This window comes from Homo sapiens, chromosome 19 (genome assembly GCF_000001405.40).
Source record: "Homo sapiens chromosome 19, GRCh38.p14 Primary Assembly".
NCBI lineage: Eukaryota > Metazoa > Chordata > Mammalia > Primates > Hominidae > Homo > Homo sapiens.
In genome coordinates, this window is record NC_000019.10 from 46880294 (window position 1) to 46901612 (window position 21319).

General features: G+C 43.4%; 1 protein-coding gene across 3 annotated transcripts in view, besides 1 other annotated feature; it reads left to right on the forward strand.

Moving 5' to 3' along the window:
• ARHGAP35 (Rho GTPase activating protein 35) overlaps nt 1-21319 on the forward strand; it is a 144081-nt gene that overhangs the window by 19297 nt on the left and 103465 nt on the right. The gene's annotated exons all lie outside the window — the stretch shown is intronic.
• Nucleotides 12702-12781: a silencer, noted in NCBI's record as "silent region_10834". NCBI's record gives its function as "represses an Ori minimal core promoter by ATAC-STARR-seq in GM12878 lymphoblastoid cells {active_cell/tissue: GM12878}" and the evidence as "EXISTENCE:reporter gene assay evidence [ECO:0000049][PMID:35858748]".

The window sequence follows — 21319 nt, forward strand, 5'->3', positions numbered from 1 at the left end:
TGGTGGTGCATGCCTGTAATCCCAGCTACTCGGGAGGCTGAGGCAGGAGAATCGCTTGAACCCAGGAGGCGGAAGTTGCAGTGAGCTGAGATGGAACCATTGTACTCCAGCCTGGGCAACGAGTGAAACTCCGTCTCAAAAAAAAAGAAGCAATTCCTCATCTGTTCAGGTTTTATTATGAGATTGCAACAATTCTGTCACATCTTCAAACTCCATTTCTAATTGTAGTTCACTTTCCACCACATCTGTGGTGACTTTATTCAATGAAGTCTTGAACTTCTCAAAGCAGTCTGTGAGGGTTAGAATCAACTTCTTCCAAATTCCTGTTAATGTTGATATTGTGAGCTCTCTCATGAATCATGAATCTTCTTTTTATTTTATTTTATTTTTATTTTTTTTAAGAGATGAGGTCTTGCTCTGTCACCCAGGCTGGAATGCAGTAGTGTGATCATAGCTACTGCAACTTTGAACTCCTGGGCTCAAGGGATCCTCCTGCCTCAGCCTACCGAGTACCTGAGACTACAGGCACATGCTGCCATGCTGGACTAATTTTTGTTTTTTTTTAAGAGATGGAGTCTTACTACATTGCCTGGGTTGGTGTTGAACTCCTGGCCTGAAGGGATCCTCCTGCCTCAGCCTCTCAAATGAATGTTCTTTTTTTTTTTTTTTTTTTGAGATGGAGTCTCTGTCACTCAGGCTGGAGTGCAATGGCGCGATCTCAGCTCACCACAATCTCCGCCTCCTGGGTTCAAGCAATTCTCCGGCCTCAGCCTCCCGAGTAGCTGGGATTACAGGCGCATGCCACCACACCCAGCTAATTTTTGTTTTTCGAGTAGAGATGGGGTTTCACCATGTTGGCCAGGCTGGTCTTGAACTCCTGATGTAATCCACCCACCTCGGCCTCCCAAAGTGCAGGGATTATAGGCGTGAGCCACTGCGTCCAGCTCAAGTGAATGTTCTTAATGGGATCATGGGATCTAGAATGGTGAATCCTTTTCAGAAGGTGGACTTTGCCCAGATCCATCAAAGGAATCACTATTTATGGCAGTGTTGCCTTATGAAATGTGTTTCTTAGGTAATAACACTTGAAAGTCTGAATTACTCCTGGATACATGGACTGCAGAATGGATGTTGTGTTAGCAGGCATGAAAACAACATTAATCTTGTACATCTCCATCAGAGCTTTTGGATGACTAGGTGCCTTGTCAATGAGCAGTAATATTTTGAGAAGAATCTTTTTTTGCAAGCAGTAGGTCTCAATGGTGGGCTTAAAAATATTCAGTAAACTATGCTGTAAACAGATGTGCTGTCATCCAAGCTTTGTTCCATTTATAGAGCACAGGTAGAATACAGTTAGCATGATTCCTAAGGCCTGTAGGATTTTCAGAATAGTAAATAAGCATTGGCTTCAATTTAAAAAGTTACTAGCTGCATTTGTCTCTAACAAGGGTCAGCCTGTCCTGTGGAGCTTTGAAGCCAGCCATTGACTTCTCTCTAGCTATAGAAGTCCTAGATGGCATCTTTTTCCAACATAAGGCTGTTTTGTCTATAGTAGCCACCTTCATCAAGGTGGGCTAGGTCTTCTAGATGACTTGCTGCAGCTTCTCCGTCAGCACTTGCTGCTTGCTTCATCTTGCACATTTATGTTATGGAGGTGGCTACTTTCCTTAAACCTTGTTAACCAGTCTCTGCCAGCTTCTAACTTTTCTCTGTAGCTTCCTCGCCTCTCTCAGCCCTGTTGAATTGAAGAGAGTTAGGGTCTTGCTCTGGATTAGGTTTTGGTTTAAGGGAATATTGTGGCTGGTTTGATCTTCTGTCTAGACCACTCAAACTTCTTTCTTTCCCTTTTTTTTTTTTTGAGACAAGGTTTCGCTCTGTCACCCAGCATGGAATGCAGTGGCATGATTATGGCTTACTGTAGCCTCAGCCTCCCAACCTCAAGCAGTCCCCCCACCTCAACCCCCCCAGGTTGCTGGGATTGCAGGCATATGCCACCATCCCTGGCTAATTTTTATTTTATTTTTTGTAGAGACAGGATCAGCGTATGTTGACCATGCTGGTCTCGAATTCCTGGCCTCAAGCAGTTGTCCCGCCTTGGCCTCCCAAAGCACTAGGTTTACAGGCATGAGCCACTACACCCTGCCAAAACTTTCTCTATATCAGCAATAGGCTGTTTCACTTTATTTTATTTATTTATTTTTACATTTTACTTTAAGTTCTGGGATACATGTGCAGAACGTGCAGATTTGTTATATAGGTATACATGTGCCATTGATGGTTTGCTGCACCTATCGACCTGTCATCTAGGTTTTAAGCCCCACATGCATTAGGTATTTGTCCTAATGCTCTCCCTTTCCTTGCTCCCCACCTCCTGACAGGCCCCTTTGTGTGATGTTCCCCTCCCTGTGTCCATATGTTCTCATTGTTCAACTCCCACTTTTGAGTGAGAACATGCAGTGTTTGGTTTTCTGTTCCTGTGTTAGTTTGCTGAGAATGATGGCTTCCAGCTTCATCCATGTCCCTGCAAAGGACATGAACTCACTCTTTTTTATGGCTGCAGGCTGTTTCACTTTATCACTCGTGTTCACTGGAGTAGCACTTTTAATTTCTTTCAAGAACTTTTCCTTCGCTTTAACAATGTGGCTGTTTGGCACAAGAGGCCCAGCTTTCAGCCCCTCTTGGCTTTTGACATGCTTTCTTCACTAGGCTTAATCATTTTTAGCTTTTGATTGAAAGCGAGGGACATGTGACTCCTCCTTTCACTTGAGCACTTAGAGGCCATTGTGGGATTATTAATTGGCCTAATTTCTTTTTTTTTTGAAACAGAGTCTCGCTCTGTTGCCCAGGTTGGAGTGTAGTGGCACGATCTCGGCTCACTGCAACCTCCGCCTCCGAGGTTCAAGCGATCCTCCTGCCTTAGCCCCACTAGTAGCTGGGATTACAGGCACGTGCCACCATGCCTGGCTAATTTTTTTTTTTTTTTGTTAGTAGAGACAGGGTTTCGCCATGTTGGCCAGGCTCGTCTCGAACTCTTGACCTCAGGTGATCCGCCCGCCTTCAGCCTCTCAAAGTGCTGGGATTACAGGCGTGAGCCACTGTGCCCGGCCAATTGGCCTAATTTCAACATGGTTGTGTCTCAGAGAACAGGGACAGAGATGAGGAGCAGTTAGAACACATACAACATTTTTTCAACTCGCCGTCTTATATTGGTGCAGTTTATGGTGCCCCAAATCAATTGCAATATTAACAGCAAACATCACTACTCACAGATGACCATAATAGAATAATAATGGAAAAGTTTGAAATATTGCAAGAATTACCAAAATGTGACATCAAGACATGAAGTGAGCATATGCTGTTGGAAAAATGATGCTGATAGACTTGCTCAAGACAGGGTTGCCAATGACCTTCAGTTAAAAAAACACATGCACACATAGTATCTGAAGCGCAGTAAAAGGAATGGCAATAAAACGTATGCTGGTCAGGTGCGGTGGCTCACTCCTGTAATCCTAACACTTTGAGAGGCCAGGGTGGGCAGATTGCCTGAGCTCAGGAGTTTGAGACCAGCCTGGGCAATGTGGTGAAACCCCATCTCTACTAAAATACAAAAAATTAGCCAGGCATGGTGGCGCATACCTGTAATCCTACCTACTCGGGAGGCTGAGGCGGGAGAATCTCTTGAATCTGGGAGGCGCAGGTTGCAGTGAGCCGAGATTGCGCCAGTGCACTCCAACCTGGGTGACAGAGCAAGACTCCATCTCAAAAAAACATAGTATGCCTATACGAGTTTACTAGTTTTTAGCTTTGTCAAGGAGAGAATTTAAAAAAGAAAAATTATTCCCACCATTATTTCATAAAAAGTAGGATCTAGGCTGGCCATGGTGGCTCACATCTGTAATCCCAACACTTTTGGAAGCGAAGGCAGGAGGATTACTTGAGCCCAGGAGTTGGAGGCTACAGTAAGCAATGATTGTGCCAACTACACTCCAGCCTGGGCAACAAAAACAACAACAACAAAAAGGATCTAACTTCAGAATAAAGGATATCCCTTCCCAAGGAAACTAGCTGCCTTATAGGGACATATGTAGGTATATACTTATAATTCTCATTTTAAACATAAACTGAGGAAAACTGCCACAGGCCAGCTGTTTAACTTTTTGGGGCCTTAGTTTTCTCATCTATAAAATAATGATGATATCCTTTTTTTTTTTTTTTTTTTTTTTCCCCTTTTGAGATAGGGTCTCTTGTCCAGACTGGAGCGCAGTGGCATGCTCACAGCTCACTGCAGCCTCGACTTCCTGGGCTCAGATGATCCATCTCAGTGTCCCTAATAGCTAGGACTACAGGCATGTGCCACCATGTTGTATTTTTTTTGTAGAGATGGAGTTTTGCCATGTTGCCCCAGCTGGTCTTGAACTCCTGGGCTCAAGCAATTCCCCCGCGTAGGCCTCCCAAAGTACTAAGATTACAGGTTTAAGGGCTAGAGTGCAGTGGCATGATCATGGCTTGCTACAGCCTCGACTTTCTGGGCTCAAATGATCCTCCTGCCTCAGCTGAGACTACAGGTGCGCACCCACCATGCCTGGCTACTTTTTAAAATTTTTAGTAGACATGAGATCTTGCTATGTTGCCCAGGCTGGTCTCAAACCCCTGGCCTCAAGTGATCTTCCTGCCTTGACCTCCCAACGTGTTGGGATTATAGGCTTGAGCCACTGTGCCTGGCCCAGGGGTCTATATCTAAATCCTAAAGCTTGCGGAAGTTCTTTCAGCTGTCCCCATGGCTTTGGGCATTATGAATAATAATCCATAGGACATAATTGGAAGGTGTTTCAGCTTAGGATGGATTGGACTTTTGAAAAGCGCCCCTTCTTATAGTCAACACAACATCTCATTCCCCTGTGAACTCACCCTTAGGGAAATCATTTTACTTTTGGACAAGTGAGACCAGATCCTCAGAGATAGTTTGTGACTCTTGCAATAATAATAGCAAATATTTCCTTAATCTTTTCTATATGCCAGGCACTGTATTATGTACTTTACATGTATTAACTCAAGGAATCCACATAACAACCCAATGAAGTAGGTACTATCCTTGTACCCATTACTCAGAATAGGAAACAGGCCATGCATGCTAGGTGATGTAAGCTAAGGATTCAGAGGAAGGAGAATAATAAATTACCCCCACTTAGAAAGTACTGGTCTGGGTTTGTGTGCTCTCTCTTCTGCCCACCTCCCTCCTCTCTCTCTGGCCCTACTTGTTTTTATTAATGTGGGGTTAATGCCGGTGATTTCATATACTAACCTTGATCATTGGGAAATGTTTCTCTCACGGGAAGGTATTTGGATGGGCATAGTACATTCTTTGGTTTGTCTTCTTGATCTCTAGTTTAGCTTACTTGTTAAAGATTTCCAGAATGATCTAGCAGTTAATTCCAGTTCCATTTTCCCCTCCACCTTTTTATTTTTAGTGAGGTCCTAATTGGATTTTTTTAATCTTAATTTTTTTAATTTTTACCTTTTTAGAGATGAGTTCTCACTATGTTGCCCAGGCTGGACTCGAATTCCCAGGCTCAAGCAATCCTCCCGCCTCAGGCTCCTGAGTAGCTGGGGCTACAAGTGTGTGCCACTGCACCCAGCTATAAATAGATTTTTATAATGTGATTTTTAAATTTTAGGGTATTAAGCTTATCTTAAAGTACAATCAAAGCCTGTCACCCATTTCATTTCTCTAATGCCTCCTTGAAGTATTTTGCTTTTGACTTCGGGGAAGAGCCTTGGAGATTGGGTACTGCATGATGCTGCAGGGAGGCCAGTGGTTTATGTTGTCGTCGTCCGTCCTGGAGTGCTTGCCTTAATGCTGCTCATTTCAAATGCCTCCTCTCTGTTTCCAAGGTTGAATTAGCATCAGGTCTTCTTTTACATCAGCCTTGTCTAATATAACTTTCTGTGTTATTCATTATGGTAACCACCAGTCACGTGTTGCTACTTGAAATGTAGCTAGTGGGGCTGAGAAACTAAATTTAAAATTTTTATTATTATTAGTTTAACTTTAAATGGCCAAAGTAGTGCAGATCTAGACTATGCTCCGTAAGGGAGGTTTTTTTTTTCTTTTCTTTTTTTCCTACTTCTAATTCTGACATAGGGCTGTGCTCTTTATGTATTTGTTAAATGCTTTCACTAGCTGAAATACAAGGAAAGTTAAAGTATTCCTTAAAGTCTTCCTCCCAGGGAAAACCGTTGTTAATAGTTGTATTTTTTAACTGTAGGATAAATTGCCAGTTTTTATTATCATTACAGTGATTCACCCTTGATTCTAGGGATCGGGCGTTACTCAAGGTTGTTGTAGATTTGGGAGTTTTAGGAGATGGAGGAGGCTTAGAATGCAGGTTATAAATGTAACAGAAAGAAGTATGACTAATACTGGTAAAAGTGTCTTTATAATGATTGTTGCGATATGATTGAATTTCTATCCTAATGCTTAAGAATCCTTAGTGAAAATGTGGGAAAGAGGATGAATCACTGTTTTCTCCCTTCCCAAATCCCAGATGATTTTGCTAGAATTTTAAGGATGGATTGAGTGTTCAGGTGATTTTGTCTTGACTTCTTGGGTTGGTTGGGATCTTTAAAGAGAGAGAGATTAAAAAGGATTTACTACTAGCAAAACTGAAAAAGCAGAAACATGTCTGCTTGAATTTTGAGTTTCTTTTCTCTTTGATAGTGGAAGCAGCATCTTAGGCCAGGTTCATTTTGTAACTGGTGTGGGTGTATGTATGCATGTGTACATCCGTCTCATGTTTGTTAAATTTTCTTGACTCCCTAACAGTTGTTTGTACTCCACATCATCAGTTTTGGTACCTTCTACTCGTTACTGAAAGGATATATTTACCTTCTCAGTGGGTTGGTGAAGATGGGGGGTGGGGGAGCATATATGGAAACTGATGAAAATGATAAAACCGTGGTGCTCCAAAGTAAAGAAAGGAATTTTTAAAAGCCTTTGAATTAACTGGAATGTGGGATCTTGGATTGGATCCTGGTACAGAAAAGGCAATAAATAGAAAAACTGGTAAAATCTGAAAGTCTGTAGTTTAGTTTTTTGTGCTAATTTCTTAGTTTTGACAAATACACCATGGTTATGTGAACATTAGGGGAAGCTGGGTGAAGGGTATGTGAGGACTCTGTAACATCTGCAGCTTTTTTGTATATCTAAAATTATTCCAGAGTAAGAAATTGAAATAGAAGCTGTGACTAGCAAGAGCTTCCAAGGGCTGTGACTTCACCAAGGGAGTGTGTTCATAAGTAGGGCTTCTCTCTAAGGGCCTCTAGAAGTTCTGCTTATCTGCCCACTTCCCTCCTTCAACTCAGTGCTCTAACCATGTGGAATGACTAACTCTCCCCAAAATCCATGCTTCTGGGCCGTTTCATACACTTCTCATCGGGGTATTCTCCTGCTACACCCTCCCCGACCGAACCAAAAACAAAATACATAAAGATCACCTAAAAAACAAAAAATGCAGCTTGACTAATTCCTTTTCATTCTTTAGGTCTCTGGCTTAGATTTTATTTTTTTCAGGAAGCCTTCCCTGACCCACAGAAGTCAGTGTCTTGTCTGAGTTTGCCTGCTGAGTGGAACCCTCATTGTGCTGGTACTTAGTACTTTGCCTTTTTTTTTTTTTTCTGAGACGGAGTCTTGCTCTGTTGCCCAGGCTGGAGTGCAGTGGCACGATCTCGGCTTACTGCAAGCTCCGCCTCCTGGGTTCATGCCATTCTCCTGCCTCAGCCTCCTGAGTAGCTGGGACTACAGGCGCCCGCCACCACGCCTGGCTAATTTTTTTGTATTTTTAGTAGAGACGGGGTTTCACCATGTTAGCCAGGATGGTCTCGATCTCCTGACCTTGTGATCCGCCCACCTCGGCCTCCCAAAGTGCTGGGGTTACAGGCGTAAGCCACCGCACCCGGCCTCAATCAATAATATATATATATATATATATATATATATATATATATATATATATATATATATATATAAAATATTGATTTTATACACACACACACACACACACACACACACACACCCCACAACAAGAAGTAAGGCTCCTGCTCACACCTTCTTAGGCTCCACTGGCAGCAGCTTCCCTCATGCCCTTGGGTAACGGTGGCTGTGGTTTGCTCTGTACCAGCATATATGCTGTAGATGGCCAAATCCCTGCCAGGGAGACAAACTCAGCACCATAAAGGTGAGAAAGCACATTTTGTAAGGCTTATTCTTATATTTCAAGGTCCCAGGGGTCCAATTTAGGAAAATGTTTTGTTTTTTAAAATCTGCTTAGTTATGTAGCATTATCTTTTCCTGTACTATGTGAATTTACAGCTCATTTTACCATAAAAGATAATGTGTAGGTTGTTTAAAACCTGTTCTTTGGCCGGGTGTGGTGGCTTATGCCTGTAATCCCAGCACTTTGGGAGGCTGAGGCGGGCAGATCACTAGGCCAGGAGATCGAGACCATCCTGGCTAACACGGTGAAACTCTGTCTCTACTAAAAATACAAAAAAAAAAAAAAAAAAAAAATTAGGCAGGGGTGGTGGCACGTGCCTGTAGTACCAGCTACTCAGGAGGCTGAGGCAGGAGAATCACTGGGGTGGAGGTTGCAGTGAGCCAAGATCACGCCACTGCACTCCAGCCTGGGTGGCAGAGCGAGACTCCGTCTCAAAACAAAACAAAGCAAAACAAAAAACCCTGTTCTTGGACTGGGCATGGTGGCTCACACCTGTAACCCCTGCACTTTGGGAGGCCGAGGCAGGTGGATCACCCAAGGTCAGGAGTTCGAGACCAGCCTGGCCAACATGATGAAACCCCTGTCTCTACTAAAAATACAAAAAATTAGCCAGGCATGGCCAGGCGCTGTGGCTCACACCTGTAATCCCAGCACTTTGGGAGGCTGAGGTGGGCAGTTCACGAGGTCAGTAGATCAAGACCATCCTGGCCGACATGGTGAAACCCTGTCTCTACTAAAAATACAAAAGTTGGTGTGGTGGCGTGTGCCTGTAGTCCCAGCTACTCAGGAGGCTGAGGCAGGAGAATCCCTTGAACCTGGGAGGTGGAGGTTGCAGTGAGCTAAGATCGCACCACTGCACTCCAGCCTGGGTGACGAGTGAAACTCCATCTCAAAAAAACAAAAACAAAGACAAAGAACCGTTCTTTAGTAAACCAATCAACAGCGATTAATTATATAAAATGTGCACCGCCTTAGGTGGTATACATAGCACTATCAGACATGGCTCCTGCTTTTGAATTTCTTACTTTCTAGTAGGGGAAAATAGAATATCCTCACCCCACAGTGTGTTACTGTGGCTCAACCACATGAATCAGGAAACAAGAGTAGAGGCCATTCGGAGCTTGCAGTGAGCCGAGATCCCGCCACTGCACTCCAGCCTGGGCGACAGAGCGAGACTCCGTCTCAAAAAAAAAAAAAAAAAAAAAGAGTAGAGGCCATTGTGGTGGGTGGTGAAACATTACAAGTACTAAAGCCATTGCTTCAGCTTTCTTTAACAGTGTGACCGCTGAAAAACTAAATGGTTAGTGTTTTGGGTTGCCTCTAGTGAGACATGGCTAGACGTGCAGATTCTAAGCAAAGGTTATAGGAACTTGAGGTTCTGTAGACCCTTAAGGGGTTGGGTCAGGGGTGTCTATGATGCTTTCAGAATGAGTATATGCTGAATTTTGGGGTCTGTATATTTTCTGCAGAGAGAGAATTTGTAGATTTCATCAAATTCTCAAAGGAATCCATGACCCAAAAAAGACTACAACCACTGGCTTAGAGTAACACTGAGCCCCATGGCCTCATTTTGTCTCCGTTTTACTTTACTGTTCTAGATTGAGACCTGCCTTTTATTTTTCCCTGATACTTATTTGGAGGGGTCCTTGATGCAAAGAACTCTATTGTTGAACATCTAAGGAGGAGTATGTAAGCTTTCTTTTTTGGAAGCTTGGGTATTATGGCTCTTAAATCTTCATCTTTTCTGTCATTGTTTAGTAAAAATGTCTTTCTATTTGAAATAATGATTACTGTATTTCTAGGTGCAAGTATTCATTCATTTGTCATGTATTTATATGCTGAGGCCCATGCTGGGCAGTGGTCATAGAGAGATGAAATGACCAGATCCTGGCCCTTAGAGGCTTTTAGTGATACACATGTAAGTGCTCAGAAATGGTAGCTGTTAGTCTCCTGGGAACAGCTATTATATAGTGTCATGGCCAAAGTCATAGAGGATATACAGGGTAGAACAGGAACACAGGAGAGGTTATCTAGACTATGTTTCATTGAAATTTCACTGTTGATTCATCTCATTAGCTCATTGATGGGTTGCAAACCTTTGCATGAGAGGGTGTAACAGATTAGGTGTTTGGGGCCTTTGCCAAACTGGAGAGGTACAGTTGGAAACACGACAGTGACTGAGGCTGTAGCTGTGACACATGTATTCAAATGGAACTCACTTAAAAACTATTGACTCTATTTCTCTACTTTTCTGTCGACAACAGTATACGGTTCTGTTTGCCCTTAGTCACTCAGGAGGTATTTATTGGATGCCCAGAGGGTGTGTAATACTGGACTGGACCCTTGGACTGGACTGTTTACTTACTAGAAGAGCAGATGGAAATGATTGGGTTGTGGCTCTTTGGCAATATTCTTTGCTGTCTCCCAGTAGTCAGTATGGTAATAAGCTTCCCTCTGGTGGGAGGTAGGATAGTTGGGCTTTGGAAATCAAAATACCAGAGTTCCAAACCCAGCTCTGCCACTTTCCATCTGGGTAGCCTTGGCCAGGTCAGTTGATACCTCTGAGCCTTGGTTTTCTGATGTACAAAATGGGGATATAACTATCACCCGCCCTCCAGGACTTCTGCCACATAGTAGAGCCCAATAAATGGAAGTTGTATTGTTACTAGCAGGTGAGGATTATAAACCATGGAGGAATTCCCTCACTTTATTGATTCATTAAGGATAATTATTATGTTGTGCAGAAGAAGGAGTATTCTACTTATGTGAATGGGGGAGTTTGGAATTCCTAGTTAGAAACAGTGGCTCAATCTCTCATTTTTGGCCACTTTTCTTAGGCTTTTTGCTAGGGCAAGTTTTTTTTTTTTGTTTTTTTTTTTTAGATGGAGTCTCGCTCTGTAACCAGGCTGGAGTGCAGTGGTGCAATCTCGGCTCACTGCAACCTCCGCCTCCCGGGTTCAAGCGATTCTCCTTCCTCAGCCTCCCAAGTAGCTGGGACTACAGGCTAGCACCACCATGCCCAGCTAATTTTTGTATTTTCAGTAGAGACGGAGTTTCACCATGTTGGCCAGGATGGTCTCAATCTCTTGACATCGTGATCTGCCCGCCTGAGCCTCCCAAAGTGCTGGGATTACAGGCATGAGCCACTGTGCCCGGCCAGGGCAAAGGTTCTTAATCCAGGGTTCCTGAATTTTTTGTGTAAGTCCATTCTATTTTCTGGGAGAAAGTGTTCAAGTTTTTATCAGATTGTCAAAGGGATTCTTAACTGCCAAAAGATTAAGAATTGGTTAACTGGCCAGGCGCGATGGCTCACGCCTTAATCCCACCACTTTGGGAAGCCGAGGCAGGCAGATTGCTTGAGTTCAGGAGTTCGAGACCAGCCTGGGCAACGTGATGAAATCCTGTCTTTACCGAAAATACAAAAATTAGCCAGGTGTTGGCCGGGCACAGTGACTCACAACCGTAATCCCAGCACTTTGGAAGGCCGAGGCAGGCAGATCACTGAGGTCAGGAGTTCGAGACCAGCCTGGCCAACGTAGTGAAACCCTGTCTCTACTAAAAAAAAAAAAAAAAAAAAAAAAGAAAAATTAGCCAGGCCTGGTGGCATGCCTGTTGTAATCCAAGCTACTTGGGAGACTGAGGTAGGAGAATCACTTGAACCCGGGAGGCAAAGGTTGCAGTGAGCCGAGATCGCACCACTGCACCTAGCCTGGGCGACAGAGCGAGACTTTGTCTCAAAAAAAAAAAAAAGAAAAAAAAAAAGCCAGGTGTGCTGGCACACACCTGTAGTCCTAGCTACTTGGGAGGTTGAGGTGGGAGGATCACTGGAGGGAAGTCTAGGCTGTAGTGAGCCATGATCACGCCACTGTACTCCAGCCTGGGTAACAGTGAAACCCTGTCTCAAAAAAAAAAAAAAAAAAAAATTGGTTAATGGACCTGTTGGGTGGGTATGGAGCCACAGTTGGTACCTTTGATCCTGAAATTGTCCATTATAATAAGATATTACTGAGAGCAATTTTCTAAAGTACGAAGTATGTAATGAAGATACAGGGAGAATATTCAGAAGTTTTTGTTGGCTGCTTTTTTTTTTTTTTTTTCTGCCAGGAGTAGGTGGGACAAGTATAAAGGAAAGTGGTATCAGGAGGAAGTAAGAAGTAAGAAACCACCTAAATAATTGTTAGCTGCTTGTCCTCATAGTTCTTTCCATAGGTTGATTCTGAGTTGGGGCGTCTCTGCACTGTACCTTGCAATCAGGCCGGACCACTTGCTTTTTCCTGAACACTGTGTTCAGGCTTTGTATGTTCATGAGGTCCCTCTGCCTAGAGTATCTCTTCTCCCAACATTTGTAAGTCCAGTTCTCCATGCATCAGAGCTTCCTGGTGTTGCCTTTTAGAGTTCTCATCAGCTTATAACTCCCTGGAGAGCACTGACTCTCATCTTCGGATCCTTCACCGTCATGGTCCTTTGCACATGGTAGGTGCTAAATAAAGGGTTGTGGAACTAAGTGAAGAGTGATACATATGAAGGAAACAAACACCTGTGTAAGGGAGAAGGCTATAAATTAAAATTTTCAGATACCAGTGAATTCTGCGGGGGAGCTTGGGAAACCCTTAGAGTTTCACTGACAACCTGAATAGGGGGAGGAGCCTGCCCTGAGTTAGGAAGCAGGAGTGTGGGGAACAGGTAGCCAGCCATAAGGTCTTGGCCAGGTCATATCACTTCTGGACTGGAGTTAACACCTTCAAAAACTGTTCGGGTTGGACTTTTTGAACATATAATAGAGGTGATGTTGATGAGCATCTACCGTATACCAGGTACTACTCTAGGTCCTGGGAATATAGTAGGTTGCCACCAGACAAGACCCCTTCTTTTCTAGTGGGAAGCATTGGGTGGGAAGTTAGTCCTTTCTAGCCTTAAAATGCTGTGATTCTGTCATCTGAAGAATGGGCACCAACTTCTGCTTGGGATTGTTTTGAGGATCAAATGAGAAAGCACTTTAAAGATTATAAAACACACTTACCTTGTTTATTATGAATACTTCTCTCCCCCCTTGGTTTTGCCCCCCTTGGTTTTGACTTAGGTTTTTTAAAAGTTTAAAATTGAATTGTACCAATAGGAGTATGAACTAATGATCCCAGGGTTTAGGTAGATTTGGGGACTTAAATCTTTCAATAAGTGATCCTTTAGCTAGATTGGGATGTAGGTTTGTAATATCATCTTCACCAGTGAAAAATGTATTGGGGGGGAAGTCCATTTATTTATGGATATTTTGGATATTTTGTTTCTGCCTTAACATAAGTTCGTTCGTTCGTTCTTTCTCTTTTTTTTTTTTTTTTTTTAAGATTTCAAACTGTCTCTGCCATTATTCTTAAATACAACTTTATATTGGTGAAGGCTGCTTGTCAGGGAAAAACCAAACTTCTCTACTGATTTGGGATTTTTTTTTACCATAAATTCAGGGTGCAGTTGTTCTTGAAGTGGTTCCATTTTGTGATTAGGCTGAGTATTTTTAAGCACAACTCTCTCCCTTGTCCTTAGAATTATCTCCAGTATCCTCAAAACAAAGAGCAAATGATGCAATTAGGATGCAATCCCTTGCCTGTGGATTTCAAGGAAAATTATTTTCCACACTACTTGGAAGCTCATGGACAAAGTCAAGCTTTCTTTAGATCTGGTGAACTTAGAAAAAATAACTTGATGAAGTGAGATTCTTACCTTGAGGTTAGTTTTTGAGAGTGGATCAATGATGTGAAATTTCTAAGATATTCTTGATTTATAAATATCACTTTATGACTCATTCCTTGGAGCAGTTTTTATTTTTTCCTTTGAAAAACTTTAGATGTAATTGACTTTGGTTTACACTCTATCCTGTTTTTTGGTTTTTTTTTTTTTTTTTTTGGAGACGGAGTCGCTCTGTTGCCCAGGCTGGAGTGCAGTGGCACGATCTCTGCTCACTGTAACCTCTGCCTCCTGGGTTCAAGCGATTCTCCTGCCTCAGCCTCTCGAGTAGCTGGGACTACAGGTATGTGCCACCACACCCAGCTAATTTTTGTATTTTTATTGGAGATGGGATTTCACCATGTTGACCAGGCTGGTCTAGAACTCCTGACCTCAGGTGATCTGCCCGCCTCAGCCTCCCAAAATGCTGGGATTACAGGTGCAAGCCACCACGCCCGGCCATACTTTTAGTGAAAGGAAAGCCATGTATCTTTTTCTGCTGTCTCCTATGTCATGTCTTACTCTGCCGTTTTGTAATGGTCCTTGAGATTGAGATAATAGAGAGAGATTTTCTAGATTTTCACCTACTCACTGATTTTTACTACAGGCATTTTAATTCCTTTAAATTTGAGACTGATTTTCTTCCCATAGTATTTAACTTATCATCATCCTTATAGGAGGGCCAGACCCTTAGGATTTATGTGAATACTGCTAGTTGGTAGGAAAGGTACTTTTCCTGAAGCCTTGAAAGAGTATTTCCAGAATAGTGAGCTTCATATTTTTTTGGTAACTTTTTTTTAAAGGTATACTTTCTGTGTAAATAGAAATGAATTTTTGCAATTGGATGAGGGGGAAAAAAGCTGAAATTTAAGGGCAAAATCTTTTTTTTTTTTTTTTGAGACGGAGTCTCGCTCTGTCACCCAGGCTGGAGTCCAGTGGCGCGATCTCGGCTCACTGCAAGCTCCACCTCCCGGGTTCACGCCATTCTCCTGCTTCAGCCTCCCGAGTAGCTGGGACTACAGGCGCTCACCACCACGCCCGGCTAATTTTTTTGTATTGTTAGTAGAGGCGGGGTTTCACCGTGTTAGCCAGGATAGTCTTCGATCTCCTGACCTCGTGATCCACCCGCCTCGGCCTCCCAAAGTGCTGGGATTACAGGCGTGAGCCACCGCGCCCAGCCGGGCAAAATCTTATAGCATCTTATCCCTTCTATGGTTTGGGAAATTAAGAAAAGTGCACGTTGGTGTTTTCTCACAATTTAATGCTCAGGCAAGTAAAATGATATCCTTAATTGCAAGTTACTGAAGTTGAAAGGCGACCATTTCCCATCAATTAGAAATGGTCTTTATGGTTAACTCTGGCAGAAATTCTGTTCTTCTGTGAGGCTTGGGTGATATCAGTAATCCTATTGAGGAGAGAGCATATTGAATCCTCTGACTTTGGGCAAATAATTTAGTCTCCAGGTCCCAATGCCCTTGTCTGTGAAATGAAGAGAATACTTACCCTTCCCGGGTGGATTTAAAAATCTGTGAGGAAGGCCAGGTGCGGTGGCTCATGCCTGTAATCCCAGCACTTTGGGAGGCTGAGGCAGGCGGATCTCCTGAGGTCAAGAGTTTGAGACCAGCCTGGCCAACATGGTGAAACCCCATCTCTACTAAAAATACGTAATTGGCTGGGCTTAGTGGCACATGCCTGTAGTCCCAGCTACTCGGGAGGCTGAGGCAGGAGAATCGCTTAAACCCAGGAAGCAGAGGTTTCAGTGAGCCAAGATCGCGCCACTGCACTCCATCCTCGGTGACAAGAATGAAACCCCGTCTCAAAAAAAAAGCTATAAGGAAGCCCAGCACAGTGGCTCACACCTGTAATCCCAAGCACTTTGGGAGGCCTAGGTGGGAGGATCACTTGAACTCAGGAGTTCAGACCAGCCTAGGCAACATGGTGAAACCCTGTTTCTACAAAAAATTAGCCAGGCGTGATGGTGTGCACCTGTAGTCCCAGCTGAGGTGTATCACCGGAGCCCGGGAGGTCAAGGCTGCAGTGAGTGGTTATTGCGCCACTGCACCTGCACTCCAACCTGGGCAACAGCAAGTCCCTGTCTCAAATAAAAGCTAAGAAGGCAAGTTTTGTAATAGTACTTTGAGCAGCATAAGGTACATATACAAAATATTGTGGGAAATATATTATGAAGTTTTGCATCTAGGTACATAAGAGACTGTTTCCCTCACAGTGGAGAGCTTTGGTAAAAGAGCAAGTGGATTAGAGCAGTTGTAGCTTCTGTTTTCTCCAGAAAGCTCACGCTGTGCAGCAGCTGTTTTTGTCCATTCTGGCTTTGCAGCAGTGCAGTATTGGGGTTAAGCCACGTGTGTGGGCCTCAGAGGCAGGCAGCTGGGGCCATACTAAGCCGGGTGATCTTGAACGAGTCTCTTGACCTCTGCAAGCCTGTTTTCTCATCTGTAAAATGGGGATTATAATAGTAGCTGCTCTGTTGGGTTACTGTGAGAAATGCTTAATATGGATTGTAGGGCATGATTTCCTATGGTAAGGTTTTTAGAAGTAATAATGGACCAGCTAAAAATGTTCAAGCATTTATCTACTGGGCATGTTGTCTTTTTTTCTTTCTTTCTTTTGAGACAGCTTCTTGTTCTGTCACTCAGTCTGGAGTGCATTGGCGCGATCTTAGCTCACTGCAACCTCCGCCTCCCAGGCTCAAGGGATCCTCCCACCTCAGCCTCCCAAGTAGCTGGGACTACAAGCGCATGCCACCACACCTGGCTAATTTTTTTTTTTTTTTTTTTGGTAGAGATAGGGTTTTGCCATGTTGCCAGACTGGTCTTGAACTCCTAAACTCAAACAATCCACCCGCCTCAGCCTCCCAAAGTGCTGGGGTTACAGGCGTGAGCCATCGCGCCCAGCCTTCAGCATGTTGTCAAAGGAAGTATGAAAATGACAACAACTGATGGCCCATTTTCATCAGTCATCCTGGAAATCAGCAAGAGTCAAGCTGCTTTGTGCACTTATTGGGGTGCACTTATTTTCTCCAAGGTGTCCATTTCATGAGGCATTTTTTGTTAATGGAAAGCTGGGTTAGCAAATGCAGTGATGAAGGGCCATAAGTATAGTTTTAGTAGTTGTTAACCCTTGAAGGTAGTGGGTTTATTTTGTCTTTTTTTTTTTTTTTACGACCTCCAACACTTTCTATTTATCTTGGCTTAATATAATACCTGAAAATGAATTTTAGTTAAGACTTAGAGATTTGTCTAAACAATCTCCAAGCAGGTTGAAAACTGAGACTTTCAAGAGCCAGGGGATTTGAGTGTATTCTGGATTAACTTGGTTCTTCATCTTTCCAAGAAAGGTAAACTGTGTTCTAGGCAGTTTTTGTAATGGGATTTTCAGGCTAGATCTTTAACCAAAAAAAAAAAAAAAGAGGCCCTACAGAAACTTAGAAACAGCCTTTACAGGGTCAAGGGGAGCTTTGACAAGGAAGAGGCAAAAATCTCTGCCCCATGTGTCAGTTGAACTTCTTCCACCTTCCCTCACCAGTGGCTACATTTCAGGGCTGAAAGGGCTTTGGAATCCTTTGCTGAGTGCTTTGGATGAGATTTGTTTTCAAGTTGCTTTTTAGAATTAGAGTGACCATTTACATGGTTTTCATTCCCAATCTGTGAATTCCAAAGCCTTATACCAGTCACCAGGCAGATACGTTACCTAAGAAGTGCCTACTTTTGGAGGCCGAGGTAGGTGGATCACCTGAGGTCAGGAGTTCGGCTAACATGGTGAAACCCTGTCTCTACTAAAAATACAAAAATTAGCCGGGCATGGTGGCGCATGCCTGTAATCCCAGCTACTTGGGAGGCTGAGCCAGGAGAATCACTTGAACCTGGGAGGCAGAGGTTGAAGTGAGCCGAGATCGCGCCACTGCACTCCAGCCTGGCTACAATGCGAGACTCCGTCTCAAAAAAAAAAAAAAACAAAAAGAAGTGCCCTCTGTGTGTAAGGTTCTGAGGAAACATAAAGGAAGGATTCTCCCAATTCCACAAAAACTCGATTTAGTCAAAAAAATATACTTATTGACTTTCCTAAAAAATTAAAAAGAAAAACAACTAAATACACAGCCAACTAGCATCTTCATTTTTAGAACTCAAAAATTAATTGGAATATACCTAGGGAGAAATTTTCTGGAATTTCATTTTCTGGGATATTTTTTAAAATTGCTAGTCCTCATTCCTTTGTCATTTTATATTTCATTTTCCATCTTAGTTAATATTGCTGTTTTTATTTCCTCATTCTCTGTTATTGTATCAGTTATTGTCCAATCAGGAAAGTAGAAACCACTCTAGATAGTTCCAGCAGGAAGGGACTTAAATGCAAGGGATTTATTACAAAGGTGCTGGAAAGGCTTGGGAGGAGCAAAATGCAGAAGAGGGTTGTTATCCAGAGATGAGAAAGCTGCCTGTGGGCTAGAACCCAGGAGCCTCCATGCACAGATGAGCTGCTGCTGCTGCTGCTGCTGCTGCTGCTGCTGCTGTTGGAGCTGTATTGCTGCAGTTCACCAGGAACCCAGAAGCCAAAACTGCGCTGATGTGCTGGAACCTGCGGTGTGTGTAGTTGCCTGCATTCTTCCATAGTTGTTCACTGCTCCTGCTGCTGCTGCTCCCCAAGACAGAGCAGTAACAGGAAAAAAGTGGTGTTATCCTTCCACTTGCCAACCAATCTCCAGCCTTTGAAAACCTAACTGTGGAAGCCAGCTGGCAAAGGAGTCTGGGAAATGTAGTGTGCAGGCTTTCAGTTCTGCTGATACGGAGGAGAATGTAGAAGGGCGCGTTTGACCAAATGAATGCTGTAATTGCTTGGGTGATGCATTTCTCATAACGGAGATGGGCAGAGAAGGCATTATTTTACACTGATAACATTCAGAGAGGTGGAGAAGAGGCACAGTGGCATTCCAGATAAGGGGATAGCCAGAGTGGTGGTGTGGAGGCAGGAATGCTCATGGCATGTTCAGAGAATAGCTTAGCTGGACCATAGAGTTCTTTTTGAAGGATAGCTAGAAATGAAGGTAGAAAATAAGGTTGGGTTCAAATTGGATTGAGATTGTGGTAGTAAAAGCTGTCTTACAATTAACCCATGTTGGGTGTGGTAGCTCACGCCTGTAATCCCAACATTTTGGGAGGCTGAGGCTGGCAATCATTTGAGCCCAGGAGTTCCAGACCAGCCTGGCCAACATGGTGAAACCTTGTCTCTACAAAAAAAATACAAAAATTAGCCGGGCATGGTAGCACACCCACACATCTAGTCCCAGCTACTCAGGTAACTGCAGCGGGAGGATCGCTTGAGCCTGGGAGGTTGAGGCTGTGGTGAGCCATAATCGCGCCACTACACTCCAGCCTGGGTGACAGAGTGAGACCCTGTACAAAAAAAAACAAAAACAAAAACAAAAACAAAAAAAAAAAGAAGAAGATTAACCCATAGCACTTTACACAGTGATTTGAGCTGGGATAGACCAATGAGGAAACTCTTATGATAGCTCAAGCTTTAAGGGCTTGAGGACTGTGGTAAAAACCTGTACATTCAAGACAAAGTTGTCTTGAATGAATTGTTTCTGTCTTAAGAACTGAGGCTATGGTAGTGGAGTTGGAGATAAACAGTTCATTCAAAACAAGCTTTTAACTGATGTACCTGTCAATGGCTTGGGGCAAGTAATTGGAATAAATAATGAATTCTGATTTTCTGTTGATTTTTCTATATAAATTGAATTTGTTGATTACCTTATGCTCTTGAAAAGGTCTTAGTTCTCTCTTTTTTATGCTTTTACTTCTCTGGGATAATGCCTTGATAAGTTAGACTCATCATGGTATTGTTAGGATCTTCCTTGAAGTGGCATTAAATTCACTTTGATCATAAACTTTATTCATAAATTTGTTTTTTGTTTTTTGGGTTTTTTTTTTTTTTTTTGAGATGGAGTCTCACTCTGTCACCCAAGTTGGAGTGCAGTGGTGCAATCTCGGCTCACTGCAGCCTCCTCCTCCCAGGTTTAAGTGATTCTCTGCCTCAGCCTCCCAAGTAGCTGGAATTACAGGCATGTGCCACCACACCTGGGTAATTTTTGTATTTGTAGTAGAGACGGAGTTTTGCCCTGTTGGCCAGGCTGGTCTCGAACTCGTGGCCTCAAGTGATCCGCCCACCTTGGCCTCCCAAACTGTTGGGATTACAGGCGTGAGCCACCATGCCCAGCCTTTATTAGCCAATTTGAAACCTGTGCAACAAGTTCTGCAGGGCCTTGATAACTTGAGGTAATACTTAAATTACTTGTGGACAGGTTTTTGGTTTTTTCTTTGGACACTAATTCATTAATTCCATTTAGGAGGTATTTATTGAGCCAGCAGTGTGTGTGGTGCTGAGGTCACATGAGGAGCAGAATAGATAAGACATTAAATCCCCATCTTTTTGGAGTTAACAATTTAATGAGAAATAGAAATTAAAGAAAAAAAAAACATTCCTCGGCCTTAGGGCCCTTGCAGTTGCTGTTCAGCTGCCTGGAATGCTGTCCCCCAGATGCCCAGATTCTTAACTCCCTTGCCTCCCTCATGGCTGCTCCCACGCCTCCTGCTCAGTGGGACCTGCTCTGGCCATCCCTTTCAGCTCTGTGCATACTCCTCTACCACGTGCCGGGGCTTTCTCCCCATTCTATTTCCCTCCTAAGTTTGCTTTGTAATTGTCTGTTTCCCTCTGCTAGAATTTAAGTTCCATGAGGCAGGCATCTTTGTCTCTTTTGTTCATTGCTGTATCCACATGCCTAGTACAGTGCCTGGCACAGTAGTAGGTGCTTGCTCAGTAATTTTCATTGAATGATTGAATGGGCGAATGAGAATAAATAAATGAGGGCATCCAGGGAACCCAAGGAAGGCTACAGTGGCTAGTGAGAAAAAGGCAGAATGGTGGAGATGAGATCACATAGGGAATAAGAATTTGAGGGTTTAATATAAGAGCAGGCCAGGCATAGTGGCTCACCCCTGTAATCCCAGCACTTCGGGAGGCCGAGGCAGGTGGATCACTTGAGGTCAGGAGTTCGAGACCAGCCTGGCCAACATGGTGACACCCCATCTCCACTAAAAATACAAAAATTAGCTAGGCATGGTGACGCGTGCCTGTAGTTCCAGCTACTTGGAAGGCTGGAGCAGGAGAATCACTTGAACCCGGGAGGCAGAGGTTGCAGTGAGCCGAGATCGCGCCACTGCACTCCAGCCTGGGTGACAGAGCTTAGACTCTGTCTCACACAAAAAAAATGATCAAATCTGTTCTTTAAAAGATAACTTGCTGCTCTAGGA